The 18,794-nt window shown below is 37.0% G+C and overlaps 1 protein-coding gene and 1 non-coding gene across 12 annotated transcripts in view; both read right to left on the reverse strand.

Moving 5' to 3' along the window:
- MORC1 (MORC family CW-type zinc finger 1) overlaps nucleotides 1–18,794 on the reverse strand; it is a 159,887-nt gene that overhangs the window by 44,002 nt on the left and 97,091 nt on the right. For all 11 annotated transcript variants that reach the window (NM_014429.4, XM_005247362.3, XM_047447968.1 and 8 more), the window contains 3 exons: nucleotides 4,780–4,842; nucleotides 2,821–3,066; nucleotides 2,568–2,639 (listed from right to left, as the gene is read on the reverse strand). In NM_014429.4, the coding sequence (NP_055244.3) occupies nucleotides 2,568–2,639; nucleotides 2,821–3,066; nucleotides 4,780–4,842 (381 nt within the window). The remainder of the gene's footprint in view (nucleotides 1–2,567; nucleotides 2,640–2,820; nucleotides 3,067–4,779; nucleotides 4,843–18,794) is intronic.
- On the reverse strand, nucleotides 16,660–16,867 carry LOC124906382 (small nucleolar RNA U3). Its single transcript, XR_007096345.1, has one exon. It is a non-coding gene; the product is annotated as a small nucleolar RNA U3 (small nucleolar RNA).

Consider the following 18,794-nt stretch of genomic DNA (forward strand, 5'->3'; position numbering starts at 1 on the left):
CAAAGAAAACACAACGCAGTCAGGCACTAGATGGAACAATGCTTTACTCACATAGAGAAGAGATAAAGCAAGATCAGCCTCAGAAGTGTGTATCAGTCCCCCATGGCCCAGCAGCCTCCTCCATCAGCCAATGTTGGGCAATTGGCTACATGCACCCTTCTCATGCTACAGGAGACAGATGCTGTGTTCCCTCCCCAAGGAAGACAGATATAGCAGTGGGGTTGACCAAGGTTTCATGTGACACACGCATTTAAGCAGTATAGAAGAGCATACACTGGGCTTGCAACAGAGAAAGATATTTCTGCACAAGGCAAAAAACCCAGCATAGGCCATGTGTGCTCTTTATCTCTCGGTAAGAAAGAGTCCCAGGCTCAAGGTCCATCTTTATGCATCAAAGTGGAGGCTAAAAGGCTATACCCCTGAGACTGTCTTTCCCAACAACTCTGCTCTCTACTAACCTTTCTTCTATACTCGGCCAAAGCAATCTTTACTAAAGAAAACTCTGGTCATGTCACTTCCCTGCTTGAAACTCTTCAATGGTTTCCCATTACTTATAGGATAAATGCAAAACCCCTTATGACTGGCCTATAGTACCTGCCCTACTCCTTCACACCACAGTCCATTTCCATCTCTTTTCCCTGCCATAGATTACTTGTCTTTTTAAAGTTCTTTGTATTCACCATATTCCCTCTTTAGCAAATGCTGTTCTCATTGCTTAGAAGTGCTTTTCCTCCCCTTCTACCAATGTAATTACATTTCAATCCTAAAAGGCTAGTTACCATATTTTCTGGGAAGATGTTCCTGTCCTATCAGAGTCAAAAACCCTTATTATAAACAGTCATGCTACTGTGTCATAAAAACTGCCATAGTAGCAGTTGACGTTTGTCTCTGTAATTATTGGGTGTCTGTCTCTATCACTAGACTGTAAGTTTGATGGTGGCAAAAACCATATGTGGTTTTATTAGCAAATCTCCTGTGACTGGCATACTGAATGGCACACAGTAAAATTATACATATATATATATATACACACACAGACACATCTATGTTTACATTGGTATATGTATACATATATGTGTATATATATCTACATGAAGTGTGTGTATATTGCTTCACATAGCTTTACATATTATATGTGTATGCACACACACACACACACACACACACACACACACACACACGCATGCATACTGAGTCCCTGTATTTAATGTCTAAAATGTTTTGCTCTAATACTTGGACACACTCCCAACTTCTCAATGGACTGTATGTTTTTAGAGCATGCAACATATCTATACAATAAACTGACAAATCCTAAATCTTGAAACTGCACAGCTAATGAGTTTTTCTGGAATTCCAAGTTAAAAGAGATATGATTATAAAGTGATAACATGCAGGAGTTCGAACACAGCAAGGGTTGAATATCTGAATATATAAAACTTTACATTCAAGTACAATACATAATTCAAATCAACAAAAAACCTGAAATTCTGTAGGTTGTAAACAGATTCAGCTTGGCTCATATAGTCTCAAGAAAAGATTTGGGCAAAAATTTCAAAATCATAGGAAAATGGACTTGAAATACTTTAAGAGGATGAGCAGCCCAAAAATGGTATTAAGGAAAGGCTGCCTTAGGAGGTAAGGATTTTTACTAAAGATTTTCAGAGAGTCTGTATACCATTTGCCGAATATATTATAAAGGAATGTGTGAGAGATTTCTATAATGTAACTACTATTCAAAATAATTCCTTTTGAAGCTTGCAGTGAGCTGAGATCACGCCACTGCACTCCAGCCTGGGCGACAGAGCGAGACTTCGTCTCAAAAAAAATAAGAATAAGAATAAGAATAAGAATAATTCCTTTTGAAAAGACCATGCATAAAATATCTTGCCTCCCTCCATGACTACACTCCCACCATGACTACCCACTGTCTTACACTGGGCAGAACTCAGCAGATATTTGCTAATTAAATAAGTTTATGGCTTTCAGAGCCTATAGCAGTTCATTTGAATATTTTCTATGGTGAACAATATCGACTCTTTAAGGTCGAATTTAATTTGTGGAAATAGTAAAAGGGCATTAGAAGTCAAATGTGATGGACAAGGTAGATAAACTAGGCAGTAAATTTTGGCTTAAGAAGATATAAAATGAAAGTTATTGAGATGATGTCTATAATCATTCAGCACTGCACCTAGCACAGGGTAAATGCCCATTCAATTGTAGGCATTAATATTGTTATAAGCTGAATCTGAGGGCAAATTCTCAAAAAAAAAGAATTAAATAATGGCAACTCTGTAAGAATAAATGTGTTGTGATTCTTTTCAAAGAAGTAAACTCATTTGGACACATGAAAATTCTAGAGTTGTGCATTTGTTAACATGACTCTCAACACTTAGTAATACATTAACATTATATCCCAGTTTTTTCAGAACCTTGATTACAGGGTAACAATATGTATGATTTAGTTAAGCATTTTTCCTATAAAGCATTGAATGCAAAACTTAAAGATTAAAGGTTTATCCTATATGAATATTTCTCCCTTAAATACAAATTTAAAAGCCTTTTCCCACCTGGGCATTCTTCAGGCACCCTTCAGTTGGTTGAGCTCTCCAGACAGTGGTAATATTAGCAATCTGACTTCTCTTTCAAAACAGAGAATACAGAAAAAAAAATTAGAAATTGGGACCTTGTCCAGGAAACACAGATTGCAATGTATATTTTATAATTAAAGTGTCTTAAAATGTGAAAATGAAGCAAAACCTTGACTGAATGCTATTTCCAGAATGAGTGAATTGTTTTGTGAATAAGAAACAATAATAATACCTGGGATCTCTCAGCTAGTTTGACATTTTCTGGCAGAGCTACTGGAATTCTCTGCTGTTGAGAGTTCATTTTCTCCTCCATAGACTTTTTCATAATTTTTGTTTCTGAAATATACTCTACATCAGAGTCTGTCTCTTCTATGTTTCTTTTCTGTCCTCTACGGCTCGCTGAAAGCTCAAAGGATGAAAGAGATTCATGCTTCAAGTCATCGCCCAAAAGCCTGATTTTCTGGGTTTTGGTATTTTCCTTAAATAACAAAGAACATGTTTTTATTTTTTGGTAGATAGCCTATTTATAATTAATCACCACTTCTCTCATAACCTCATTATAATAGGTATTTCTTATTACTACTAAAAAGTTTTTAAATCAGAAGCTTAGAAACAACTTTAATAATGTATAATGCCACAATGGCTCATTAAGAATTTGATTCATAAATAGCTGCAAAGTTGTGCTGGGTCAAGAAATCTGATTTTGAGGAATAAAAAGCCCAGCAATTGAGAACATACTGTGCATTCTGACTTTCCCCCAATAGAGGTTCGCTTGCCTTTGGCTCCCCGCTGCAAACAAGGCTGGTCGTCATCCCTACCCACATTCACATCCTGCTTCCTGCCCCTTGCTAGCTGCTACTGCAGCCAATGAAAGATGTATTTGCTAAGAGATCTAGAATACATGTGCCTGCTTGTTAGAGCCTACTCTCTTTTGTAAGAAACCAAAAATAACTATTAGAAGGACAGGAGTTGAGGGCAGACCACCAAGTGACACTCTAGTTATCCTAAGCATATCATTATCCTCCATAGTATTAGTGTCCACTAGTCAAGTAACCCTCTCCGCAACAGTGCTGAGGGCTCAACGAAACTCTTTAGCTCTCATTTTCCTTCACATAAACCACCAACATTTTGTAAAGTTATGATACAGTTGTGTATACTAGTTTGTTCATGGCTAAGTCAAATCTCAAGGCATGAGACAATGTTATTATTACAGAGGACTTACGATGACATGTTACAATCTATTTCCCATGGCAAATTACTTGCAGGTGATTTTTACTGCTCTCCACTCCAGAAGAATCCCTTTCTTCATCTTGCTCTCAGACTCTGGTGATAATTTATTACAAAACGGGTAGGTTCTAAGTCTGGTTCTGCAATTCAGGTATGTGGTGATCTTAGATAAATTACTATAAAAGGAGGGAGTTGGATTATAAGACTATACCAGCTCCAACTTATTTCTGGGTTCATTGGTCTCTGATTCCTTGATATACTAGCAGAAGGTGCAAATTTAAAAAACACAAACACAAACTAAGAAGATAGCATGGAAACAACTGTTCCAATATTTAAAGTGAATAGTAAAGAAATGCCAAAGATACAAAATACATTATGTATATCAGAAATCTATTTATTTAAAGGTTGTCTGAGTTTATAAATCCCATCGTCTGCCTGTTAAGAAATGTGAATAATTAAAATTATAAAGAGTTCCATATTTTTGTGTGTGACTGATATAACTGAGAAGCTCTAACTAAAGGCTCAAAAATGTTCCTCTCTAAATTTTAAATTCTACATAAGAACAGACATTTGAGGAATATAACGTAACATGACATTTAGCAAACACAAGAAATGATATAGGAACTATATATACAACATATTTCTAGGCAAATTCACATCCATAGACAAAAAATATATATGTATATATCCCTAGAAAGTATTGGAAAGAAATACATTATTTAAAAAGGTTTTTATGTGCAGGAAGTAAGATAATGGGTGATTTAAATTTTATTTATATTTTACTTTCTAACTTATCCCTAATAAACATGTATTACTCTAACAAGAATAAAATGGCAGTTAAAATCTACTAGTGCTTCACTATGTGAACCTCATAAACCATGATGACAGTTGGCCCTTGATAAGGCTTCTCCTTCACATGGTTAAAACATGACACAAATTGCTTAATCCTATATTAATTACTCACCTTATGTGCTGAAGTTAGGCAGGTGGAAGTGACAGTGATTTCGTCCACTGGTATAAATTGAGGCTTTATGGGAAAGCAAACCATTAAGGCAAATGTAAGTAAAAATAAGCTTCAACTGGCATAGGGTAATAATTCAGCATTCTCCATTTCTTAAAGAAGGGTCAAGATAGCAAACCCTCATGAATAATTGTTCAAGGAGTGCATTTAAGTTTAGATATCCTGTAGTAATGTTCTGATTAGTAGTGACAAGACAGTGCAAGAAAATCCAATGGTTTGTTGAAGCATTATGGATCAAATGTGTTATGAACAAGGCACTGCTCTGTTGAACTGGGTCTCGTTTCCAGCCTCCACAGCCCTTGTCTCTTTTCTCTCAAGACTCTGTTCCCCACCTACAGAGTACAGGGTCTGGAAGGAATTCTGACCTTAGGCAGTAGCACTATCTAGTTCAGAGCTCTAGGTGTCAGCTTCAATGGACTCTTGAGGGTAAACTGGCCTCGACTGTGTCCTTAACGCACTCAATGCCCAATCACATTTACTATTCCTCAGGCTTATTTTCATGTTTCCATACTTTGGCCTGAAATGACTTTCCCAACCTTGTCCATTTGTCAAATTCCACTCACCCTTCAAGTCTCAGTTAAATTATCTATCCTGAAGGTCTCCTCCAATTCCCCAAGGGAGAACTAATTGCTTTATCTTCTATGCCGTCATGGCATTGTTTCTCTTCACATGTTTATGGAGGTAATATAGTCACATATGACAACACATGTTTAGAAGTATATTAAAATGAAGCCTCTTTACTACTTCATTCTCCACTTGTCTAATTCATATTCCATTAATATGTGACCACTGATACCACTGTCTCGCTTAATCTTTCTGGAGATGTGTTTATATAGCATATATAAGCACATATATATGTGTGTGTGTGTGTGTGTGTGTATACATATATATACAAATTTTTCCCACTTTTTGTGGTAGGGAAATATGGTAGCATATTATACACATGGTCTGAATTGTTGAATCGTGCCTTTTCATCGAAGGATATATCCTAGAGGTTTTTCTCTTTAGTGTATAAAGAGCTTCTTATTCTTTTACAGCTGTATTATATTCCAGTGTATTGTTGTAAAAAAGTGTATTTAACCAGGTCTATTGACAGACATTTGGATCTTCTCAATCTTTTACTATACAAACAACCTTGTAAATAGGTAATTTCACATTTGGGTGAATATGTCCATATAATCAATTTCCAAAAGTGACATTTCTGGGTCAACAGGTACATGCATTTATAATTTGGATAGACACTGCTAAATTTCTCCACCAGGCTTTTTGGTGGCCTAGCATATAGGCCTAGTATATACGATTATTCCAAGGGTACTTGAAGAGAAATACATACTTACATACTCTATTTTGAGAGTGCAGAGTATATATATATATATAATTATATGTATATTGCTATTATTATTATTGATTGTTTAGGTATCCCTGAGCTGAGAGTAAGTTAAAGTTTCCTATTACTAGTATGATTGTCTCTTTTTTCATGTATCACTTGTAATTATTGCTTTATTGATGTCATATACATGTTTGACATTAGTTCAATCATTTTATTTTATCCTTTACTTTTATAATTTAAGTTTTTAATGATACATTGTATTTTCTTTTTTTCTGGTGACCTCCATTATGATGATAACTATATATAATATTTTTAGCTTTCTCTGTCTTTAGACAGGATCTATGTATTTCCTACTCTGAACAGTGGCAAAATTTGTTTATTTTTTCTTCCCCGTTTTCTTCCCCTGATATTTATCAACAGTATGATCCTTCTCAGTGTTTACCTTAGTACTAAGAAGTATGCTAAAATCAAATAAATGACACCTCTTGGTCTCCTATTACAGTTGAGGCAAACGTCAAACTACTTTTCCCCTTCTATCACCCTTGACTTTCCTTTTTGGTTAGCCGAATTATTTTTACATTGCCAGGGTATTTACATTCAGTTTGGTGTCTAATGTCACATTTGTTTTAGGCTTTTTGCTTTAATTAAATACAGTCAATGCTTACATTCAGTCCTTTGATGTAGAATTTTCAGACATCTCTTGCTGGTTGAAGTTTGATCCCTAGTAGTTTCCTCAAAAAGAGACCATGAGAATATTTCCTGAGTTCTTTCCTATTTTTACGTTTTTTGTTGTTTTTTTTTTTTTTTTTGAGACAGAGTCTTGCTCTGTCACCAGGCTGGAGTGCAGTGGCGCAATCTCTGCTCACCGCAACCTCCACCTCCTGGGTTCGAGTGATCCTCCTGCCTCAGCCTCCCAAGTAGCTGGGACTACAGGCGCATGCCACCACGCCCAGCTAATTTTTGTATTTTTAGTAGAGACAGGGTTTCACCATGTTGGCCAGGATGGTCTCCATCTCTTGACCTCATGATCCGCCCACCTCAGCCTCCCAAAGTGCTGGGATTACAGGCGTGAGCCACCACGCCTGGCCCTTTCCTACTTTTAAATCTATTTAGCTGTAGGCTTTTTATGTGAAGAGTAATTTGGTGAATATAAAAGTCTTGGTTTACACTTCCTTTCCATGAGGATCTTACAGTTTTTACTTCATCACCTGAAGCTGATTTTTTTTAGAGAAGTTTGAAGCCAAAGTGAACTGTTTTGTCCCTATAGGTGACTTGATGTTTATACCTCTTGGTCAAAGGAATCTATATTTTTTTTTTACAGTGGAGTAATTTTATTATAATATATGTCTTACTGTTGACTATTCTGGGGACAGTTTTTCCCTATTGTGGAGCATACCATTTCAAACACGTAGCTTCAAGTTTTACCGTTTTCCTGAAAAGTGTGCCTGATTTATACCTTTAAAAATGTGTTCTTCCATTACTCTGTTTTCCCTGGGTATTCAAATTGTTCAAATATTGTGTCTCCTTCTTACTGCTATCATTCATGATCATTTTCTGTGTAACTAATTGTAAGCAATTCTTTCCTAATTTCTATTATTTTATTTGCTTTTTACTTTTATCTTCTATACCAGGGGACAGCAAACTTTTTCTGTAAAAGGCTAGATAGTAAATAGTTTTGCAGGTCACATACAGTCTCTGTTGTGTATTCTTTTCTCTCTCTCTCTTCTCCCTCTTTCTCTCTTTACCATCTACAAATGTAAAAGTCATTTTCAGCTTGTGGGCCATAAATGAACAGGACTAGATTTGGCCCATAGGTAATAGTTGGTGACCTTTGCTCTATATCCCCACTATGCTTACCAAAATGATAATTTGCCTTGTGTTTTTTCCAATTGTATGATTTCATTTCTTCTGTTTAAGTTCTGCAAATTATGTTTTATTTCATTGTCTCGTATAGTCTCAGCATCTCTTCATAAATCCTTATATTTGTTTCAGAATCTTCTTTCATAAAAATGATTTTTTTCATTGGGTTTTTAAAAATGTATGTATAAATGTGTATGTTTAATTTCCTTCTGATGTGCATTTTAATTTTTCTTTTCTCTAATTTACAGCTTTAGTGAGATATAGTTGACGAACAAATAACAGCACAAAATTCAAATACATAATTTGAAAGATTTTGATATATGTATAATAATCAAGATAATTAACATACTGATCATCCCCAAAAGTTTCCTTGTCTCCCCACCACCTCTTCCAACCCTGCCCCATCCCTAACCAACCACTGATCTGCTTTCTCTTGCTGTCAATTAGCTGTATCTTCTGGAGTTTTATATTAAGTGAAATCACACAGTATGTAATCTTGACTTCTTTCACTTAGAATAATTATTTAAAAACTCATCCATATTGCTGTGTGAATCAAGAGTGCACTCCTTCCTGTTACTAAGTAGCTTTCCACTGAATGGACATGCCATAATTTGTCCTTTCGCCTTTTGATGGTCATCTGGATGTTTTCCAGGTTTTGGCAATTACAAAGCTACTTAGTATAAGCACACATGTACAAGTTTTGCGGTGGATATATGCTTACATTTCTCTTGACTAATACCTAGGAGTGGAATATCTGGGTCATATGATAGGTATATCTTTAACTTTTTAAAAAACTGCCAAACTAGGCTTACTCCTATAATCCCAACCCTTTGGGAGGCCAAGGCAGGAGGATCACTTGAGGCTAGGAGTTTGAGACTGCTGTGAGCTATAATTGTGCCACTGCACTCCAGCATGGGCAACACAGTGAGACCACATCTCAAAAAACAAAAACCAAAACAAAAAAAACCCTGCCAAACTGTTTTCCTATGTCACTTTACCATTTTGCATTTTCAATGGTTGCTCTCTATCCTAGGTCAACATAGCGTAATCATTTTAACTTTATCCATCGTAGTGAGTGTGTAGTGGTTATCTCATTGTGGTTTTAATTTGCAGTTCCCTTAATGATTAACGAAATTGACTTTTCATGTGTTTATTGGCTATCTGCATGTCTCCTTTGATTAAGTACCTGCTTAAATGTGTCTATTTTTTAACTGCATTGTCTTATTATTGTTTTTGTGCTTTGTTTTTGTTTTTTTTTTTTTTGAGATGGAGTTTCGCTCTTGCTGCCCAGGCTGAAGTGCAATGGCACAATCTGAGCTCACCGCAACCTCCGCCTCCCAGGTTCAAGCAATTCTACTGCTTCAGCCTCCAGAGTAGCTATGATTACAGGCATGCGCCACCACGCCTGGCTAATTTTGTATTTTTAGCAGAGACGGGGTTTCTCCATGTTGGTCAGGCTGGTCTTGAACTCCCAACGTCAGGTGATCCGCCCACCTTGGCCTCCCAAAGTGCTAGGATTACAGGCGTGAGCCACTGAGCCCAGCCGAGTTTTAAAAGTTCTCTCCATACTCCAGATACAAGTCCACTGTCAGGTATTATTTTGCAAATATTTTCTCCCAGTCTGTAGCTTGACTTTTCAATTTCTTAACAATGTCTTTTGAAGAGCAAAAGTCATTAATTTTGATGAGGTACAATTTAAAAAATTTTCTTTTTATAGATCATGCATTATGTGTCATTTTTTAGAAATATATGCCAAATATCAGGTCACTAAAATTTCTTCCTATATTTTCTTCTAGGTTATCTTTTACATTTAGCCCTATGATCTATTTCAAAATAATGTTGTATATGACAGGAGGTAAGAATCAATGTTTGTTATTTTGGGGGATATATGGCTATCCAAATGTTTTGGTTCCATTTGTTGAAAAGATTCTTATTCTCTCATTAAAATGTCTTGATCCCTTAGTTGAAAATCAGCTGGCTATATACATGTGGGTCTATTTCTAAACTCTCTATTCCATTTCATTGCTATATTTGTCTCTTTTTACACCAATACCACACTGACTTAATTACAGTTTTATTATGAGTATTAAAATTAGGTAGTATGATTCCTCCATCTTTGTTCTTTTTTAAGGTTATTTTTTCTAAATTCTTTGCATGCCATATAAATTTTAGAATCAGTTTTTAGTATCTATCAAAATACTTGTTTGAATTTTAATTGATGCCAACTGGGGAGAATAGACATCTTAGCAATGTTGACTCTTCAAACTCATGACATGGAATCTGTCTTCATTTATGTGTTTTATTTAATGTTTTCAGCAGTGTTCTACAGCTTTCAGTGTACAGGTCTTACATGTATTTCGTCAACGTTATCTGTAAGTAGTTCATATATTTTAATGCTATTGGAAATGGTATTTTTCAATTTCAATTTCCAACTGTTTGCTAATATATAGAAAAAGTTAATTTTTATATATTGATTTTGTGTCCTGCAACCTTGCTAAAGCTCATTTCAGTAGTTCTAGTAACTTTCTGTAAATATTATCTGTTTTCTACATAAACTATCAAATCTTGAAAGAAAAAAAACTTTTACCTCTTCTTCTGTAATCTGAGTGCCTTTTCTTTCTTTTTCTCTCTTTTCACACCATCTAGAACCTCTTGTACAATGTGGAACTGGAGGGGTGAGAGTGAAACTCCCTTGCCTCATTCCTGACCTTAGTGGGAGAACATTGATTCTTTCACTAATAAGCAAGATTTTAGCTGCAAGTGTTTTGTAGATGCCCTTTATCAGTTGAGAGAGTTTTCTTCTATTCCTGATTTTCTGAAAATTTTATCAGGAATGGCTATAGTTGCTTCTTTTTTGTCATTTATATTTTGCTAGAATTCTTTAACGTTTTTCTTGCAGTATTTTATTTATGTTATATAATTATATGGTTTCTTATTGACATTTTACTGGAATCTTTGTTTTTTTAGTGTATCTGTTTAGATGCTACACTAGTTTGTTTTTTTAAACATGTCATTATAAAAGTTGGATTTTCCAGGACCAGCTCTTTGCCAGAGCTTTCTATAGAAAGCGTTAAGTGGAGGGCAAATTTCTAGGCAAGTTATTTTTCACAAGCCTAGCTTCTTTTCCTCTGATCTCTACAAAAAATACTGCTTCTGCAAATTGTGACTTATTTGAGTCCTTTCATGTGCATTTCACATTTTCTACTAATGTGAATCAAAGTTGGTCCAGTAGGGTTCCTGTTGCCTGCTGGCTATTGCAGATAACGGCTATAGCTTTTCCATCTCTAGATGTGTCCTTCTTCAGTAAGTGTATTTGTATGGATTCTTTTGATATGCTACCGCTGGGCTCTTCCTTAGATTTCTCTTCTATTCTTCCTGTGGAGCTCCTGCATCATCTTGATTGCTTTGAGCAGCCCTGAGAAATATGTTGATATACATCTATGCTATGGCTTGAATGTGTCCCCCCAAAAGCATGTACTGGAAACTTAATCTGCAATGCAACAGTGTTGGGAGGTGGGGCCTAAAGGGAGGTGTTTAGGTTATGAGGATTCCATTCTCATGAATGGATTAATGCCAATTATTACAGGATTTGAGACTGCAAGTTCAATCTCTCTCTCTCTTGCCTTCTTTCCCTCCCTTGCTTTCTGCCATGGGATTACACAGCAAGAAGGCCCTGACAAGATACTGGCACCTTGATATTGAACTTCCCAGCCTCTAGAACTGTGAGAAATAAATTTCTTTTCTTTATAAATTACCCAATCTTTGGTATTTTGTTATAGTATCACAAAAGAGACTAAGACAGTTTCCTAGTTTGACTAAAATTTCAGTTTGCATTTTTGTCTTCCATTTTCTGTGTTGCTCTTAGAAGACTTTCAGAAAATGGGGAAATGCTAAATCTATATAGCCATATTTATACCAAAAGTCCCCTATAACACTTTACCTACCTTTATCATTGTACATATCACAATGTCTAATAGTTACATGTTGACATGTGGATCTCTTTCAATAAATTGTAAACTCCCAATTATTTGTTTTTATCTGTAGTACCTCATACAAGATTTTGAGTATTATAGGTTCTCAACAAAATGTTGATGATTGGCAGGATAAACAGATGCTTCTAGAGCCCACTGCTCACCTCTTTCATAGCCAAAACAGTACCACAAGTCTACTCTACATTCAAAAGGTGGTTATTTCTCCACTACTTGTGGGAGCTTATTACACCATTCAGATGCTTTATATTAAATTCCAGTGTATACTCTCTTCCAGTGTTTGAATCACTCTGGGATGAGTCTTGTTCCTGATACAGCAAAATGGATTTCACAATGTATGATTCTCTTAAATTATTTGGGTTTGTAATATTTTAGGTGCTAGCTTGAAGATAATTATTTCGTGCTAGTTTTATTGTAATGGATTTTGACCTGAACTATTAATCACATCACTAAACAGAATTTTGAGTAAATAAAAATTTTATAAGTTCTATAAATTACACTCTTTCATTTTAACATCAGAGTTGCTTCTAAAAAAGAACTTAAGATATTATAGAAAAACACAGCAAAGATGTATGTCTCAACTACATTTTGAGTAGAAAGACATTAATAATTATGTCAAATAAAACTTGTTTGTTTTTTGAGACAGAGTCTCACTCTGTCACCCAGGCTGGAGTGCAGTGGCGTAATCTCGGCTCACTGCAACCTCTGCCTCCTGGGTTCAAGCGATTCTCCTGCCTCAGCCTCCCGAGTAGCTGGGGTTACAGGCACCTGCCACCACGCCCAGCTAATTTGTTCGTATTTTTAGTAGAGACGGGGTTTCACCATGTTAGCCAGGTTTCGAACTCCTGACCTCAAGTGATCCGCCCTCCTTTGCCTCCCAAAGTGCTAGGATTACAGGCGGGAGCCACCACACCCAGCCCCAAATGAAACGTTTTAAGGTAGTACAGAAGCAAGAACAGACATAGCAATGACCTCCAGTAACAGGGTGAAGGCAAAAATTCACTCACAATTGGAAGAACACAGCAAGAGATAGGGGAAGAATTCAAAGACAGCTGCACTGAGCACCTTTTCTACCTTAGATCTATACCTAGAAGATTATACCATAGTCAATGAGTGGGTTACATTTTAACTGTATCTTTAGTAAAGTGCACCATATCCTTAAGAATGTTGGGTCTATTCCTCCCACCCATCTGAGTTCTGCTCATCTTCTTTAATTCTATCACATGCTACTTTCACTTTGTAACTCCAGGGGTAGCTGAAATTCAGTCACTTTGAGGAACTTACACTGGTCAGTCTTTTCATCTCTTAAAACTTATCTACCTCTGAAATGCTTTTCTCTTCTTTATAATTTATAGTTCTTCTAATTCTTTCAGGATTATTATCAATGTTCTTCATATGCATAGAAACTTCTTTTCCCACAGTTCTTTCTCTGAATTTACTATACCCCTCTTGACTTCCAGTCCATTCCCAATTCTGCCTGAGAAAAACAGTCCATCACATCAGCTATGCTCTGCCACGCATAATCCTCAATCTTGGATCAATGACATCATTTTCCATCTTTGCAGAAATTCCAAGCTGCTAAAATTTGTGCAAGTTGAGTATCTCTTATCCAAAATGCCTGGGGACAGAAGTGATTCCCAGGACAGTCTGTCTGGGAATCAGATTTGGGACTTTTTGAATTTTGGAATATTTGCATATATATAATTAGTTATCTAGGGAACCCAAGTCTGAACATGAAAACCATTTATGTTTCATATACACCTCATACACACAGTCTCAAGGTAATTTTATACAATATTTTAAATACTTTTGTGCATGAAACAACGTTTTGACTGTTTTGACTGCAACCTGTCACATAAACCAGATGAATTTTCCTCTTGTAGTGTTGTATCACACTGAAAAAATTTTAAATTTTGGATTATTTTGAATTTCAAATTTTCAGATCAGTGATGCTTAAACTATATATAACCACTGAATCCACACTACAAGAAATATGCATAATTCTCATACTCTTCTGGACAATCTTTTCACTTGTCCCTAACTAGCTTCTGTATCCATCTCCACAAAGATTGTTCCAAATCTTTACTGTACCCTCCATATAAAGCCTGCCTCTTTCACTCAGATGACCCTGACTCCTCTTTATAGGAAGGAAAAAAAAGTTAAGATTTTTAGGTGTGTGTGAACACCCTTAACTTCTTTTCTACAATCTCAGAGGAAAAAATGTCCCTCTTCCTGCCCTAACTTAAACCCTGCACCGGGGTCCTCATAATCCTTACTTCCTGTCCTTGCTGGACTCTCTACATGAAAAAGGTCCCAGGCCGGGCGCAGTGGCTCATGCCTGTAATCCCAGCACTTTGGGAGGCCGAGGTGCGCAGATGACTTGAGGTCAGGAGTTCAAGACCAGCCTGATCAACATGGTGAAACCCTGTCTCTACTAAAAAATACAAAAATTAACCAGGCATGGTGGCGGGCGCCTGTAATCCCAGCTACTGGGGAAGCTGAGGCAGGAGAATCGCTTAAATCCTGGGAGGCGGAGGTTGCAGTGAGCTGAGATCGCACCACTGCATTCCAGACTGGGTGACAGAGCAAAACTCCATCTCAAAAAAAGAAAAAAGAAAAGAAAGAAAAAAGGAAAAGGTCCCATCACACCTGTGTGCTGTATTTCTTCAATTTTACTGGCTTTTTCCTCTTACTCCAGAAACATTGTCTAATCTCTCCTAACCATGAATTTACCTCAACCCTACCTAATGCTCTAGCTGTAACCCCATGTTTCTTTGCTCCTTTAGTACAAAACTTCCTAACACAGCTTATTACCCATGGCGTCTATTTCTTTACTTTCCATTCACTACTTCCCCTCATCCCACCTGGCTTTCCCTCTGAAACTTATCTTGCTGAGCTTGGCAATCAATCGCCTTTCTGTTATAAGGCCCAATGGACTTAGCACGATGCTTAGATCATAATAGATATAAAGGAAATACTTGCATACTTAATTTAATAATCTAATGGAATTGAAGTGAAAAAGTCAAAGCAAAATAGTAAAACACAAGATCAGGAGAAAGTTTTCTAAAGCATTAAGACAAAAAGTAGGATACTTTTGGTTTATCTTTTGAAGCATCTTCTGTGGAAAGAGCGATATACATAAAATTAGTGCACTAAATTTGCACATGTTAAGTGTACTAAATGAAGTTGACCTAAACGAAAAATGTAAATAGTTCCCCTAAAAGTTTTCCTTCTGGTTCTAATTAGAGATAGAGATTTCCACTAATAGATACATTTCAACTAATAGATGAAGATTTTCAGCATCAGTTTTGGGGCTGGCCTATAGTTTTAAAAATACATTTTTTTAAAATCACATATGTACTTTTTTTGAGGAATGCATTCTTACATCTTTGATTGAATTTTTGTAAAATAGAAATCTGAATAACACAGTTAACCTACTTCAAAATCTGAGTTACTTAATGAGTAGCTGTTTACCAATGATAGCATCTTTTTTTATCATCATCATCATCTTTTCAGATTTCAAAGAAGAATCATTACCCTAGAAAGCTTGAAAATATCAGTATTCATTTTTAAATGACACTTATAACTTCTCCCAGCAAGACTATTACATTTCTTTATGAGTTCAGAAAGTCCCGCAAATCACACACTGAATCAGTGAGAGCTGCATAAGATGAACTGTCTCTGGAAGTAGAAACACTGAAGAATCCTTAAACCAGGAATAAAGAAGTGAATATTGGTGGTGCATACATCTGGGAAGCAGCAGAAATGGAGATTCCAAAGCACCAGACCAAGAGATTCTTGTTTAGTCCGTCTGGTGTAGATCTCAGGAGTGAATATTTCTATAAAATTGTGACATTGTTTTCAAACAGACAGTCCCATAATCTTAGACTCACAGCCCTGGAAAGTAAAGAATGCTCCTTTCTAATTTTCTATCAATTCTTTGTGGGACTATAGAGAAAATACTTTTATGTTTCTGTACAGTTAGGATTTTCTGATTAAATTTACTTCACTTGGGACCTGGACTAAAAGAACAAATCTTAGAATTTAATCTGCAACTGATTATTAGTGGAGAGGGCATGTGAAGAGATTTGCCTCCAGAGACATTTACCTCCCTGGAAATATGTGTTTACATTTTAAGGGAGGAATAAAATCTGGGACCACAGAGACAAGACCAGAATTGTAAAGCTGGAGAAACTAGTCTCATCTTCCCCTACCCCCAGAGATCTGTTTATATTCCAAAGGGTAAGAGTTACAACTCAGGGCCCTTCCCAAAGAGCAAAAGAATGTGGAGAGGGTGGTTGCCACTCTCATACAGAAATGTCCAGATACATTTTCTTAGGAGTTCTTTGCCTGCAGTACAAATTGTAAGATATCATCTGATCTGACTCTCACCCAATCCATTGCTCCAGGGGTAAAAACCAGAGCAAAGGGTGATTCCTTGTGTTATATATAATACTTTGCTCTGCTCCAGAAATATCATGTTTATATTCAAAATGGTATTAGTAAATATAGATATTTCAAACATAACTGCTTGTGATAGAAGATTGGCAACTGATATTCACGGGTTCTAAAATTTGAATGGGTCTTTGCAAACATCTAGCTTAATTCCTCACCTCCACCTTTTTTACTTGTTAAAACAGGAACTCCTCGACTGTGTCCTCTCCCTATTCCTCTCCCAAAGGAAGAGAGGAATGATCACCAAGAGCAAATGAACGGCCAGTTGCAGTGAAGCAACACCGGTTCCATGCTCAGGAGAGAATGCTGCGCCTCCTCGTGGTTTCCTGTGCCCTAAATGTTCAGAGAAGCTTCTCTAGAAATGACCTATAGACATGATCCCTGAAAATACAGTCTTAATCTTCTTCTTTTCACCGGCCTGGTGGTACTCAGATCAAGGACTACAGACACCAGACAGGCCTGAGGTCACTTGGCTTATGAACAACAGAGCTGGGACCTGAAGGCAGGGATCCTAACGCCAGGCCAATGCTGTCCACCACATCCTGCTGCTTGCATCTCCTTCTTCAAAGAGCTCGTAAGCATTGCCCCTTCTGTAAAGCTTTCCAAAGTCACTTTGCCTTCCAAACCTGCCCACTATAGACAGAGCTACTCAGAAAAAGAAATTATGTTTACAATTAGCAGTTAATTTCTCAACTTCTCTTACACAGAAGAGCTACTGAGCCAAACTGAAAATAGAAAAGCAGAGTCGTTTGAACAGCTTTGAACTAAGAATCAATCCTACATTTCAGATCTACCCCTATTCTTACATTGTTTACGTCACGTTGGCCAGAGGGGCAATATAATTTAGTAATAGAATGAGGGGTCTGGAACCAGTCTGCGTTGGCTGAAATCATGGTTCTGCAGTTTCCTAACTCCATCTTTGGCAGATTATTTCTCTGTGACTCAGTTTCCTCATCCACAAAATAGGAATCATAACAATCATAGCATTGTAATAAGGATTAAATGTCAGTGAATTTACAGCACTGCTGATAGAGGCACATTCTAAGTGTTATTATCATTTCACCCCTCCATTCATCCTTCTCGTTAGGTTTCTTCTCGTTAGGTTCCTACAGTTACAGGAATTAGGTAGTTTTAGAATTCACCAAAAGTATAGATAATTATGGAAATCTTGGGGGAGAGATTGGAGAGAAGGGAATTGGAAATATGAAAAATATGTAATTCTCCTTTATTACAAAAAAACCCTGCAGTGACCACATGGTATAATACATGCAAAAACAAATGGTGGGTGAACCATGAAGTATATGTAGCTTAAGTGGCAACATCCCTCCCTTACAAAGCCTCTTCCATGGCGCTGTCCTAACTTCATATTTATAGTTTGGTATTTTCTGTTTTAAAAGGGATCCCAAAAATTGTATGAACCTCAGGCTCAAACAAAACAAAACAAAACAAAACTAGATCTGCTCCTGTTCAGATGCATTTTAAGTAATACTTCATTTTATTTTCAAATGCCAGAAATTATTCCTAGTGGTCTTGGCTTGTGCCTACAAGGGGGGTCCCGCCAAGTGGAGGAAAAGTTATTCTAGACCCTTGTGAAGCAAAGTTCATGGACTAACGTCAGTTAGTTCTTCAGGACTCAATGCAAATCCCTGATGTGTCAGGAGACCTTACACCCTGGTTAGAATGCTGGACTTGGTGGGGGAAGACTAACTGAAGGAGTGGAGAGGTTAAATCACATGTTGGTAAAGTACAAGGTAAAAAATAGACCCCAGTTAAGATTAAGTATGAGCCTGTAATCCCAGCACTTTGGGAGGCCGAGGCGGGTGGATCACGAGGTCAGGAGATCGAGACCATCCTGGCTAACACGGTGAAACCCCGTCTCTACTAAAAATACAAAAAATTAGCCGGGTGTGGTGGCGGGTGCCTGTGGTCCCAGCTACTCGGGAGGCTGAGGCAGGAGAATGGTGTGAACCCGGGGGCAGAGCTTGCAGTGAGCCGAGTTTGCGTCACTGCACTCCAGCCTGGGCGACACAGTGAGACTCTGTCTCAAAAAAAAAAAAGATTAGGTATGAATTTTACTCCAGCCTCCAGGAATTGAGACAGAGGAAGGGAGCAGATTCAGATCACAAATATGGTCAGGTGACAAGGATTGAATGAGGTTGAATCAGGGGTACAAGATACAAGGTTTAAGTTCAAAATCAGAACAACAGTCATGAAACACAATTCCCCAAACTGAATTCAAAATGTAAAGTTAGGTCCTAAGTAAGAAGGAAATTGGGTCAAGCAAATTGAAAAACAGGATTCAAGCTGAGAGAGGAAGACTCAGG

This window comes from Homo sapiens, chromosome 3 (genome assembly GCF_000001405.40).
Source record: "Homo sapiens chromosome 3, GRCh38.p14 Primary Assembly".
NCBI lineage: Eukaryota > Metazoa > Chordata > Mammalia > Primates > Hominidae > Homo > Homo sapiens.